This window comes from Homo sapiens, chromosome 15, assembly GCF_000001405.40.
Source record: "Homo sapiens chromosome 15, GRCh38.p14 Primary Assembly".
Lineage (NCBI taxonomy): Eukaryota > Metazoa > Chordata > Mammalia > Primates > Hominidae > Homo > Homo sapiens.
The window spans coordinates 98574131-98588189 of NC_000015.10; the positions used below are offsets into that span (position 1 = coordinate 98574131).

General features: G+C 41.3%; 2 annotated features.

The window, feature by feature from the left end:
* Nucleotides 5031-5531: an enhancer, noted in NCBI's record as "H3K4me1 hESC enhancer chr15:99122390-99122890 (GRCh37/hg19 assembly coordinates)". NCBI's record gives its function as "activates a minimal SCP1, AML or CMV promoter by ChIP-STARR-seq in naive H9 embryonic stem cells {active_cell/tissue: H9 hESC(naive)}" and the evidence as "EXISTENCE:reporter gene assay evidence [ECO:0000049][PMID:30033119]".
* Nucleotides 5532-6032: an enhancer, noted in NCBI's record as "H3K4me1 hESC enhancer chr15:99122891-99123391 (GRCh37/hg19 assembly coordinates)". NCBI's record gives its function as "activates a minimal SCP1, AML or CMV promoter by ChIP-STARR-seq in naive H9 embryonic stem cells {active_cell/tissue: H9 hESC(naive)}" and the evidence as "EXISTENCE:reporter gene assay evidence [ECO:0000049][PMID:30033119]".

Here is a 14059-nt window from a genome sequence, read left to right on the forward strand (position 1 = left end):
CTTCTGAGAGGGCAAGGACCACATCAGGTGTTATTCCCAGTTATATTCCCAGTGCTCAGCACAGTGCTTGGCACATAGTAAATGCTCAGTAAATGTTTGTTGAATGAATGCATGAACAAATGAATGAATATATAAACATGCCTTCTCTCTTTATCAGCCTTAAGTAACCTGATAGTCTGTCGGTCTGATTCTCTGATTGTGTAGTGATTTCTCAATTTCAATAGGTGGCCTAAATTGTGAAGGTGGTAAGGTATTGCCTTGATGTGTTTTCTAGGTATTAGCTTTTTCTATGTATTTATTTTTCAAAAGACAGTTGATCATAAATCTTTATTTTATATCTGTAAAGTATTGTGCTGCAAAAGGTTTTCCTACTTTGTTACTTAAAAAGAAATAATGTTCTTTTTTGGTCTTCTCAAAAAAGAATGTATTTTCTCCCTCATGTACTAAACTTTCTATGCTTGTATAACTTTTGCTGTTAATGTCCCTGAAATGCTATCTTCCTGTATGAAAATTAGGTACCTTGGAGGAATTCATTCAGAAACCCGAAGGACTCTCAGTGGGTGTGGAGTACTAGGAGCCAGGGTAGTCCCAGCAGTGTCAGGTTAACCAGGAAACCACTCACTAAAATGGGGAGAGCAACTCTTCTCAGGGCAGTTCTGAGGATGGCAGGGAGATGCTGTGTTTGAAAAGTCCCCAAACCATAACGTATGTTGCATTTTTATTATTATTATTTTTTTGAGACAGAGTCTTGCTCTGTTGCCCAGGCTGGAGTGCAGTGGTGCTATCTTGGCTCACTGCAACCTCTGCCTGGGGAGTTCAAGTGATTCTCCCACCTCAGTCTCCTGAGTAGCTGGGATTACAGGTGCATGCCAGCATGCCTGGCTAATTTTGTATTTTTAGTAGAGACAGAGTTTCGCTATATTGGCCAGGTTGGTCTCGAACTCCTGACCTCAAGTGATCCTCCTGCCTCAGCCTCCCAAAGAGCTGGGATTACAAGCATGAGCCACTGCACCCAGCCCATATGTTGCAAATATTAAGCTGCCCCTTTCTCTCCTCCTCCTCCCCCTCCTCCCTCTCTTCTTCATCACAGTGTTTTACCATGGTTTTAACATTATTAAATAAATAACTTATACCAATTCAAGGTATTCACAGAAAAATATCTTGGGGAAAAAACATAATTCTATATATTTATTACTTCTATTGCAACATTTTAATGAAATCGTATTTTTGTTTAAATGAAATGTTTTCTTCCCTAAAACAAGGCTATGGTAATTTTGTATGTACTATAGCCCAGTTTTAAAATTTTTTAAATGGAAAGTTCTTAAGAATGATTTTCCAGAAACAAGAACCCTCTTATTTCAATTCACAGAATCCATTGCCAGTTTATTCTTCAGTAATTTTACATGAAGAGGAGGCTAGATTTCTTCCGATATCAGTTCATCTTTTGATAGCTATTACCATCTTGTGAGCTAAAATATAGAACTATTTTCTCAATGAAAAAGCGTCCTTTCATTGAGAATGCTCACAATGGAATATGAATTTCAGCCTTGTCTCAGTGCAAATAACAATAGGGGAGAAATGGGCTGAGTTCGGTGGCTCAAACCTGTAATCCTGGTGCTTTGGGAGGCCAAACGGGTGGATCACTTGAGGTCAGGACTTAGAGACCGATCTGGCCAACATAGTGAAACCTTGTCTCTACTAAAAATACAAAAAATTAGCCGCGTATGGTGGTGCAGGCCTGTAGTCCCAGCTACTCAGGAGGCCGAGGCATGAGAATCACCTGAACCCTGGAGGCGGAGGTTGCAGTGGGCAGAGATGACACCACTGCCCTCCAGGCTGGGTGGCAGAGCAAGACTCCATCTCAAAAAAACCCACAAACAAACCCTGTAGGGGAGCAATGTACATATGAATGCATGGAAACAAGGAACCTTGTTATTAACCCCCTTAATCCTATGTCAACCAGAAAGGGTTTTTAATGTGTTTCTTTCTAAAATTAAAAATAGGCTCGGCATAGTGACTCATCCCTGTAATCCTAGCACTTTGGGAAGCCAAGGTGGAAGGATCAGTCCAGCCTAGGACTTCAAAACCAGCTTGTTCAACATAGGGAGACCCTCATCTCTACAAAAAGAAAAAATATATTTTTTAATTAACTGGGCGTGGTGGCACATGAGTAGGTTGCAGCTACCCAGGAGGCTGACGCAGGAGGATCACTTGAGCCTTGGAAGGTCGAGGCTGCAGTGAGCTATGATTATACTGCTGTACTCCAGCCTGAGCAACAGAGCAAGATTCTGTCTCAAAAAATAACAAATAAAATTTGTTTTATTATTTTTGAGATGGAGTCGCCCTGTTGCCCAGGCTAGAGTGCAGTGGTGCTGTCTTGGCTCACTGCAGCCTCTGTCTCCTGGGTTCAAGTGATTCTCCTGCCTCAGCCTTCCGAGTAGCTGAGATTACAGGCATGTACCACCACACCCGGCTAATTTTTGTATTTTTAGTAGAGACGGGGTTTCACCATGTTGGTGAGGCTGGTCTCAAACTCCTGACCTCAGGTGATCTGCCTGCCTCGGCCTTCCAAAGTGCTAGGATTACAGGTGTAAGTCACTGTGCCTGGCCAAAATAAATAAAATTTAAAATTAATATAATAACATGAATTTGACCCAAGATACTTCTCTTCAGCTCCGAGCTTGCTTATGCATCATTACTCATAAAACCTACCCAGGACTGGGGCCATTGACAGACACCCACTCATACCTAAGATTCCGTCACCCTTACTGAAAGCTATCACAGGAATACAAGTGTTCACAGGTACTCTATTTTTATCTGAAACAAGACAAGTAGAGGCTGAGCTGATGGTTCTGCCGATTTACCAGTGACCTCTGTCACCTGACCCTCAGGTTGATCACAGTCAGCTCCAGCGGGAATGTGTACCAGCAGATGGTTCACTACCACAAAGGTCAAGTGTGTTCACTGAAGAAAATTCAGAGAAAAGAGAAATGGACACAAATCATATAATAAAAATTACTATAACCCTACCCCTGAGAAATAGCCTACTGTGAACATTTGTGTGGAAGTTCTTTCAGTATGTTTTCTGAGCATATATGATGATTTTTTTCATGATTGTCATCAATATGATTTGTAACTTGATGTAGTATATCATGAGTGGTATTTCATATCATTGGATATATCCTTTCTTTCCTTTTCCTTTTCCCTTTCCTTTCCGTTTTTTTTTTTTTTTTTTTTTTTTTTTAAGACAGAGTTTCGCTCTTGTTACCTAGGCTGGAGTGTAATGGCATGATCTTGGCTCACTGCAACTTCCACCTCCCGGGTTCAAGCAATTCTCCTGCCTCAGCCTCCCAAGTAGCTGGGATCACAGGCATGCACCACTACTACTACCAGCTAATTTTGTATTTTGAGTAGAGACAGGGTTTCTCCATGTTGGTCAGGCTGGTCTCGAACTCTCAAACTCAAGCAATCCACCCGCCTCGGCCTCCCAAAGTGCTGGGATTACGGGTGCAACTTTTTTTTTTTTTTTTTTTTAAATAACCTGAGAAGAGAGTCTTGCTGTGTTACCCAGGCTGGAGGATGGAATGCAGCCTTGACCTCCTGGGCTCAAGTGATCCGCCCACCTCAGCCTCCGAAAATGTTGGGATTGCAGGCATATGTCACCAAGCCCAGCTAAAGATATTTTAAAATCATCTTTAGAATATATCTTATGAGGCCAGGCATGGTGGCTCACGCCTGTAATCCCAGCACTTTTGGAAGGACAAGGTGGCTGGATTGCTTTGAGCTCGGGAGTTTGAGACCAGCCTGGACAACATGGCAAAACTCCATCTCTACAAAAAATACAAAAAAGTAGCCAGGCGTGGTGCTGCATGCCTGTGGTCCTAGCTACTCAGGAGGCTGAGCTGAGCTGATCACTTGAGCCCAGGGGGTAATGGCTGCAATGAACTATGATTGTGCCACTGCACTCCAGCCTGGGTGACAGAGCAAGACCCTGTCTCAAATGAATAAATAAAATATCTTCATGGTAGCCATTCTAATGCTTGTGCCATAACATGCTTGTTCAGTATTTAGTGACATTTGTATACAATTTTGAGGATACCCTTTCCTGTACTCAGAATGCATTCTAAAAGTAGAACTTTTGGGACAAAGGATAGTCATGTTTTTAAAAGCTTTTGATAAATATCTTTAAACTGCTTTTTAGAGGGCTTCCAATAAGTTGAACCTCAGATGTCGTTGCCAAACTTTGATATTATCATCAAAGCAACAATACGCTTAAAAAAACAATTGGCTGGGCACAGTGGCTTACACCTGTAATCCCAACATTTTGGGAGGCCAAGGTGGGTGGATTGTTTGAGCCCAGGAATTCAAGACCAGCCTGGGTAACATAGTGACACCCCATCTGATATGGTTTGGCTGTATTCCCACCCAAATCTCATTTTGAGTTGTAATCCCCATAATCCCCACATGTCTAGGAAGAGACCTGATGGGAGCTGATTGGATTGTGGGGTGGTCCCCCCATGCTGTTCTTGTGATAGTGAGTTCTCACGAGATCTGATGGTTTGCAAGGGGCTCTCCCCACTTCACTCCTCATTCTTCTCTTTCCTGCCGGTTTGTGAAGAAGGTCTTTGCTTCTCCTTCACCTTCTGTCATGGTTGTAAGTTTCCTGAGGCCGCTCCAGCCATGAGGAACAGTGAGTCAGTTAAACCTCTTTCCTTTATAAATTACTCAGTCTGGGGAAGTTATTTATAGCAGTGTGAGAACGGACTAATACACCATCCCTTAAAAAAAATAGGTGTGGTGGTGTGCCTGTAGTCCCAGCCTCTTGGGAGGCTGAGGTGGGAGGATCTCTGAAGCCCAGGAAGTCAAGACTTCAGTGAGCTGTGATCACACCACTGCACTCCAGTTTAGGTGAGAAAGTGACAAAGTGAGACCCTGTCTCAAAAAATAATAATAACATTAATTATATGTAATTATATGTTTATATTCATCATTTGCATAGATTTTTTGGCGAGGGAGTTGGGGAGAGGAAGAATCACTTCTCCATGTCTACTAGGGCGAGGAGTTGTCTTTTTGTCTTTCTTATTGAATTGTATGAATAAGCCTAGTTTTTACAAATGACAAATTTCCAGGACACCAGAATAAGTTACTTGGTGATGATCAGATTATGTTATATTGCACTAATATCATACTCATCTTTTGGATAAAACACTCAACAGGCACAAAAAATATTTTATAATGCCGATCTGCAGCTAAAGTGCCAAAGCTACTATAAACCCACCCTTGGCATTTCAAATTGGGGGTCCTTGGAGTGGGGTCCAGCCCCCATGCCCTCCTGGAGAGATGCCTTCTGAAGGCTACACCACCTCCAAGGGCACAGCTCCAATGTGCTACCATATTGCTGTGAGGGCCACTTCTCTGTGATGGTCTTGGGGAGGGGGCGGGTGTCCTTTTCTGTGTATGGGACCATGGAGCACATGGTGTCAGGTGGCTGGCCCCGGACACACCTGCTCTCAGGGCAGCCTGGGTCATTTGTGAGAAAAAAGACGCGTAGCCAGGCGCGGTGGCTCACGCCTGTAATCCCAGCACTTTGGGAGGCTGAGGCGGGTGGATCATGAGGTCAGGAGATCGAGACCATCCTGGCTAACACGGTGAAACCCGTCTCTACTAAAAATACAAAAATTAGCCGGGCGTAGTGGCGGGCGCCTGTAGTCCCAGCTACTTGGGAGGCTGAGGCAGGAGAATGGCGTGAACCCGGGAGGCGGAGCTTGCAATGAGCCGAGATTGCACCACTGCACTCCAGCCTGGTCAACAGCGAGACTCTGTCTCAAAAAAAAAAAAAAAAAGATCAGTAGTAGCATCTCACTCATCCGATTGTGGTGAGACACAAATGAACTAAGATCACTAAAGCACTTTGTGTAACACACACACATCTTGTCAATTTATAAGGAAAACCAGGCGGAGGTTGCAGTGAGTCGAGATCGCGCCACTGCACTCCAGCCTGGGTGACAGAGCAAGACTCCATCTTAAAAAAAAAAAAATATATATATATATATATATATATATATATATATATATATATATATATATATATGTATTTCTATATATATATGTATTTCTATATATATATGTATTTATATATATATATATGGAAAACCTTGTGTTTTAGAAACAGCAACCAAAACTAACTTTCCAGGATGGCTTAACTAGCTGGTTGCTTTCTGATGACTCAATTGTGGATTCACATGCACATAATCTCATACTCCTTTCTTGAATAAAACGTTCACTGAGCACCCAAAGTGATATTATTTCTATTATTTTTCTACAAGCCTGGCGGGAACAGGAGAGCAAGAGAGAGGAGAGGAAAGTGGGCTAAGATCTGGGCACTACGGAGCACCATTTTGGCACAGTTCGAGTTGGATAATAGCCCCACCAATCCACCCCAGACAACCCCTGCCACCTCCTCAGAGCAGGATAGTCCCCATGAGCCTGGTCACTAAGTACACACTTTGCTCTCTCCTCTTGAAAAGCAGGTATCTTAACGGGTGCAAGCCTCTCTGAGCTTCTAGTCCTATCCAATGTTGACTCTTACCCAACGTGGCAGAGCAGAAGCCACAAGGAAAACGTAAATGGAGCCCACATCCCCCGCCAGAATGCTCGCTGCAGCCAGACAGCTGGCCAGGACACTGTTGTCAGTGGGGGATGTGCGTGTCACTGAGGATTCCAAGGAATTTGGCTTGTTCTGCGCTCTGCCTCTCCAGCTAAATGAGTTCCACTTATACCCCGCACTACGGGCTCTGTCGATTAGGCAAAGTGGTGGTATCCCTTCCCGGCACAATTGACAACACTAATAAAAATAGATAACGTATTTTTAAAACTACAGCAGATTGTCATGGTAATAAATAATTGTATCATGTTGCTGTCATAGCAACGAAGTCTGTGTAACACAGGCAAATCAAGCCTATATGGAATTTTTCTAAATTTAGGTGTTTGAAAAGAGTTAAAATAGTCTATAGTCATCGGGAGGTGCATTAAGAGAAAACTCCTTAACCTTCATTGGAGAACATATTTTAGTCATTTTTTAAAAATCTGAATTGCTTGTTTTAATATTTCTCCATTCTCTTCAAATGATAAAACTCAACTTTCCTTTTTGTGATATATATATTTATATATCCTTAAGACCTTTCATAAACAGTAGAAGACTAGAGCTCTCTCCCTCTGTCTCTCTCTCTGTGTGTGTGTATCTCTGTATCTGTCTCACTCACTCTTTCACTTTCTCATCTTTAAAGTAATTTGCAAGGCAGCATATCATAACTCTTGTACTTTCCCTTGGTGGCTAACGACACAATATTAATGAAATAAGTTACATTAGCTAAACCACGCCATATCAAATTAATAGCTAGTTTCCATACTCTTTGCTCCATTTTTTAAAAAAGCATTCATTACTGCATGATATCCAGTGTGTCATTAACCACTATAGACTACCAGAGCAAACTATGATGATTTTCTGACACAGTAAACTTGCCTTCCTGACTTCAACTAAATGCTATTGAAATGACAAATAAGTGACACTGCCCAAAAAGGAGGGAAGGATTTTTTCACAGATATGTAATTATTGTGCCATTACGAGAAATCTCCAAGTCCAAAATAATTGCATGAAAAAATTCTGCAGTTTCCCGCATGATAAAACAAGACCTATGTCCCTTGATTTTTTTTTCTTATATTTGGTTTTGATGAAATAAAAATGTCTCTGTTTTCCTCTGTAAAGGTTTCTTCTCTCTGAGTCCCCACTAGGGGCTGTTGTACCATAGAAATAGGGTTTAAATCGGAGCTGAGCTACCTATATCAAGGTAACTTGCAGCACGGATGGGCAGTATTCATTAATTCTTTAAAACGTAAAGGTATTATTTAGAAAAAAAAATTAGATTATAAATTTTTAAAGATAAAATAATTAGGCAGGGTGTGGAGGCTCATGCCTGTAATCTCAGCACTTTGGGAGGCTGAGGTGGGTAGATCACCTGAGGTCAGAAGTTTGAGATCAGCCTAGCAAACACGGTGAAACCCCATCTCTACTAAAAATACCAAAAAATTTGTCAGGCATAGTGGCACACACCTGTAACCCCAGCTATTTGGGAGACTGAGGCAGGAGAATCGCTTGAACCTGGGAGATGGAGGTTGTAGTGAGCTGAGATCACACCACTGCACTCCAGCCTGGGTGACAGAGCGAGATTCAGTCTCAAAAAATAATAATTAAATGAGACAATATGTGCAAAGTTAGCTGCTGCTTTCAATTCAAGCCAAGCATTGAATTATATTCAACTTTAATAGGAAAGTAAAATGATGAGATCTTTAAACATATTCTATGATGTAAACATCTATGATGTAAAAAATGTAAGCATCAAAGTAAAATGTAAATCAGTGCCTCTAATGTTATTAATTTTTTAATGTGTTTTGTCCCTTTATAATTTTCATGACTTATTTTTCCCTGATGCACTGTATTAAAAGGTGACTGTCAAAGTGAACAGACACTGGCCTCAGGCAGAGAGGGAAGATGATATCACACATGACAGCATTACTCTACTGGGGGCCACCACTTTTGCTGCCTGGCACCCTGAGCAAGTGGGACTTCGTGGAAAGGGAGACACACCTTATGTTTCTGTGCCACCCCACGGCCCCTAGCTCTGATCCAAAAACTTGATGGCTGAGTATGTATTAATGCCTGCAGAAGAAACCTGGGAAGGAATTATAGAGATTACAACTTGCCAAAAAACCAGAACTGAATATATTAATAATAAAGTACGCAGCAAGCCCGGGAAAGGAGGTCCCATCTCCTTGCAGATTCCTCCCCCAAAGCAGATGCCTGCCTGTCCGTGGCTGCAGATGGGAGCTTTCCTCTTGTCAGCTATATGCAGGCACAAGGGAGAACTCAGTGTCTTTGCAGAGAGAAAACTTACTTTGGGGTGGTGCTGACTTCTTCTCTTCTACTTCTTAGAGGATTCCTTTTTCCCTTTACTCTCTGGGGTTTTGTTTGACTTATTTCGTTTTGTTTTTAAAAACATTCAAACTTTTGGATAATATTTTACAAGCAAGTCATCTCTTTTAAAGTTGTACACCCATAAAAACCTATCACAAGTGCAAAAAATCCTTCACCAAACACAGAAGGATGCGTGGCTTTGCCGTTTTCCTTACTGCAAAAATTGATTTCACAGAATTACAAACCCAGGTATATAGAATGTGAATTTTAATATACACTTCTAAAGACAGAAGAAAAAAGAATAAAATTGTTACCTGAAGAGTAAAATTAATTTGTCATTTCTAGATGATGTTACTATGGATGATTTTTATTTTCCTCTCATATTTTACCCCATTTCTACAACTAACATTTTTATCTGGAAAAAAAAAACCTATAAGGGAAATAAAATTCATCTTCATGTGTATCAATTGCCCTAGCAATTCTGTGACCCCTTCAGCTTTTACAACCTGTGGGTTCAATTTCCACAATTACCCATGCGAACTGAGAAGAGGTGACACAGATAAAGTCATCCTGTTTTTTAATTGTTATATTTATTGTTTTGGAACTATCATTAATATTGTCATTGCATTGCATATGAATTTTTTAAACAGTTTCAAATTGTTTTCACATTAGTTATTTTCTTCTGAGACTGTGACATAACTTTACCCATTTTACAAAAAGAAGATTGAATCACCTCATACCCAGTTTTTCAGAAGCAGTTTTATATTGTCTCTCTCTAGGAAATCCAAAAGCCACTTAGAGTTGACATTGATTTATATGTGGTATATGATTGTGTGTGTGTGTGTGTGTGTGTGTGTAAGACAGGGAGAGAGAGGTGGCAGCAAATTCATCTTCCTAATTATGTTTTGCTTAGGCAAACATAAAAGTCGGCTTGCATTCTCTGAGCATTCACCAGCTGGGAAGTGGAGAGTGTTTTGTGATGGTGGAAGTTGCCTTGAGATTCAAACTTGGCTGTATTTAAAAACAAACAAACAGGGAAAAACATTCATAGCATGTGACCAAGCACGTGTAGAATGTGTACATGGGTAGCAAGAGTTAATATCTTTATTATGTAATGAGCTTAGGCAAATTGATAACAGCAACGCTAAGATCTAACAAATAAAACAGGCAATATTTTTTGTTTCTAATATTTTCCATGACTAGGAAAAGAAATATTTCTAGTTGAAAATATAGAAATGTTTGCTCGAACATTGCATTTTTGTTCAACTCTCTAGGAACCAAAGAAATTAAATTTAGACCAAATTGGGGTGAGACACGTTCTAAAATAAGCATTTACAATGTGAAATCAATACACTAATTTTGAATATTATCCTTTTCAAACACAAATCTGTCAATACTGATCAATATGTATTAAGAGCCATCAAAATGTCCAGAAATTTTATAGTTTTAAGGCAATTTTATATATATATGTGAAAAATGCAAGAAGATGTTTGTGATATGTAAGAGGACTATGCAGCAATGTGAAAAAAAATTCCTGATAAAATATACACTGGGAAAAGGAACACAAAATTGCAAGTACCCTATGGTTATAATGACTTAAAAATAACCATGGGCAAACATTGGAAAAGAAAGACATCTGAAAAACAGTGATTGTGGAGGTTATTCTTGTTACTTTCTTTCTTTTCTCAAATAGTGATTGTTGGGATTTTTTGTCTCTTTTATTTCTTTCTTTCTTTTTTTTTTTTTTTTTTAAGACCAAGTGTCTCTCTGTAGCCCAGGCTGGAGTGCAATGGTGGGATCTCAGCTCACTGCAACCTTCGCCTCCCGGGTTCAAGTGATTCGTCTGCCTCAGACTCAGAGAGGAGCTGGGATTATAGGCGCCTGTCACCATGCCCGGCTAATTTTTTTTTTTTTTTTTTTTGGTGAAAGTCTTGCTCTGTCGCCCAGGCTGGAGTGCAGTGGCGTGACCTCGGCTCACTGCAAGCCCTGCCTCCCAGGTTCACGCCATTCTCCTGCCTCAGCCTCCTGAGTAGCTGGAATTACAGGCGCCCGCCACCACGCCCGGCTAATGTTTTATATTTTCAGTAGAGACGGGCTTTCACCGTGTTAGCCAGGATGGTCTCGATCTCGTGACCTCGTGATCCGCCCGCCTCGGCCTCACAAAGTGTTGGGAGGAAAGGCGTGAGCCACCGCGCCCGGCCATTTCTTATTATCTCTATCCCTGTCTCAATTCTTTGTGTGTTTTGTTGTTGTTGTTTGTTTGTTTTGTTTGTTTTTGTTGTTGTCTCGCCCGGGCTGGAGTGCAGTGGCGCCATCTTGGCTCTCTGCAAGCTCCGCCTCCCAGGTTCAAGCAATTCGTGTGTCTTGGCCTCCTGAGTAGCTGAGATGACAGGAGTGCACCACCATGCCCAGCTAATTTTTGTATTTTTAGTAGAGATGGGTTTTCGCCATGCTAGCCAGGGTGGTCTTGAACTCTTGAGCTCAAGTGATCCACCCACCTCAGTCTCCCAAAATGCTGAGACTACAGGTGTGAGCCACCACGCCTGGCCCCTTTCTCAATTCTTTAATGAAAAAAATACAGCCGTGGACCATACATACCTGAAAAGCTGTGGGTGGGTCCACGACACCAGCAAAGTGATGGAAAGCAGACCAGTGTCTCCCTCGAGGTCTAAGAATATATAAATGTCATCCTATAAACCAATGGGAACTTGAAATGTTTTTATATGGAATGATGTCTTTTTGTACATGTTTTTATCATCAGGACTACAGAATCTCAGAAATGCCTTTACTCAGTTACCATTTCAGGCCTTTTCTAAAGGGTGATTGTGAGAATAATCTATTTGAACAGAATTTTTCCCTCTTGTAAAACCATACTTCAGAATGGTATTCTCTGAACCACTCCCTCACTCTCTTAACAAGGACCTATGTCATAAATTCCTGCTTGGTTTAGTTCTAGGAAAAGTGTTTTTTTGTTGTTTGTTTTGTTTTTTTCCAGAGTGGATTAATTTGGAAGCTCTCTTCTCAAAAACAAAAACACTCTTCAGCCTCATGGCCTGGATGAGAACTCTTTTCTGTTACTCTGGGGTTGCCAGGGAGCCACGAGCCAGAGTCTTTGCCTTGTTCACTGTAATCACACCTTTGCCTATTTGACTGTAATCAATCACGCCACATGTCTCTAGCCTTGGTTTCCTTCAGGTTGTCTGTGTTCTGTGGTTTTGATGCTTTGATGTTTTATCTTGAAGTTCTCTCAGAAGTAGATAGGCGCAGAAATTGAAAATAAACAAATGAAGAAAAGAATTTTGTTATACAAACAGAACATACTAATTGTTTTTATTTGAAGATGCAAACCATCTAAACAAATAGAGAGAAAATCAAAGTGTGCCTCTACCCAATCCTGTGCTGGGAAGTAACCCAGTCTGAAGTGTATCTTTTCATATTTATAATTAGACAAACTTATTTTTTTCTAAGAAAAGAAAGACACGTGGAAACGTGTTTTTAACAATGGGTTTAATGTTTTAAACATTTAAACTTTTTCAAAAGTGTATGCTTTTTTGAAACATAGACTGTGACATCCAGGTCGGGCAATTGCTCACAATTGCACGTATGTGAGGCATGCTGAGATTCAGGTGTGTTTTCCAAAAATAGAAGAATTGTGTTTTGTGTGGCAGAAGGACTGCAATTTTACATATAGATTAAGAAATCACTCATAAATCCAAATAGTTAATCAAACACCTCTCTGAAGAATCTGAGCCACTTAGCTTTGCAAATTCAAGTGAAAGCTCTGCAGAAACACAAGCGGGGAAGCCCTCGGTTGTTGTTTCTGGGTTTCATTGTTGGGCGTGTTGTTTTGATTTTGTCTTTTCCTCTGGTAGGAATGGAACTTTTGTTCCGATATTTCAGACGTGTGACCAAAAGTAGTGCTTTCCAAAGGCTGCTTCGGGTAAGTGTCACCATGGACCCTCTTTTCTGAACAGGAAGCTCTAGGACACCTGGAAAAGATTGGCCAGGCATGGTGACTCATGCCTGTAATCCCAGCACTTTAGGAGGCCAAGGTGGGTGGATCACCTGAAGTCAGGAGTTCGAGACCAGTCTGGCTAACATATGAAACCCTGTCTCAACTAAAAATACAAAAATTAGCCAAGTGTGGTGGCACATGCCTGTATTCCCAGCTGCTTGGGAGGCTGAGGCAGGAGAATCGCTTGAACCCAGGAGGCAGAGGTTGCAGTGAGCCAAGATCATACCACCGCACTCCAGCCTGGGTGACAAAGCAAGACTCCATCTCAAAAAAAAAAAAAAAAAAAAGAATTCTTAATGATTTTAGTTGTTGTAGAAGATATAAAGACAGCTGGGGCCAGGCACGGTGGCTCAAGCTTGTAATCTCAGCAATTTGGGAGGCCGAGGTGGGTGGATCACTTGAGGACAGAAGTTCAAGACCAGCCTGGCCAACATGGTGAAACCCCATCTCTACTAAAAATACAAAACAATTAGCCAGGTGTGGTGGCAGGCACCTGTAATCCCAGCTACTCAGGAGGCTGAGGCAGGAGAATTGCTTGAGCCCAGGAGGTGGAGGTTGCAGTGAGCCGAGATCACGCCATTGCAATCCAGCCTGGGCAACAAGAGCGAAACTCTGTCTCAAAAAAAAAAAAAAAAAAAAAAAGGATAGCTGGGATGTGTATCACCCCATCTCACATTATAAAAATTGGAGGCTGGGAGCCACAGCTCATACCTGTAATCCCAGCACTTTGGGAGTCCAGGGCAAGAGGATTGCTTGAGCTCAGGAGTTTGAGACCAGCCTGGGCAACATAGGGCGATCCTGTTTCTACAAAAAAATTAAAAATGAGCCGAGTGACATGGCACATGCCAGTAGTCCCACCTTCTCAGGAGGCCGAGGTGGGAGAATTGCTTGAGCCCAGGAGGTTGAGGCTGCAGTGAGCCGTGATCATGCCACTGCACTCCAGCATGGGCAATGGAATGAGACTCTGTTTAAAAAGAAAACAAAATTGGAGTCAAGTTAAAAAGTATAAAGAAAATTTTAAAATATCATAAACAATAAAATACCATCAGCAATGAAAGGTTTTTATAAATATT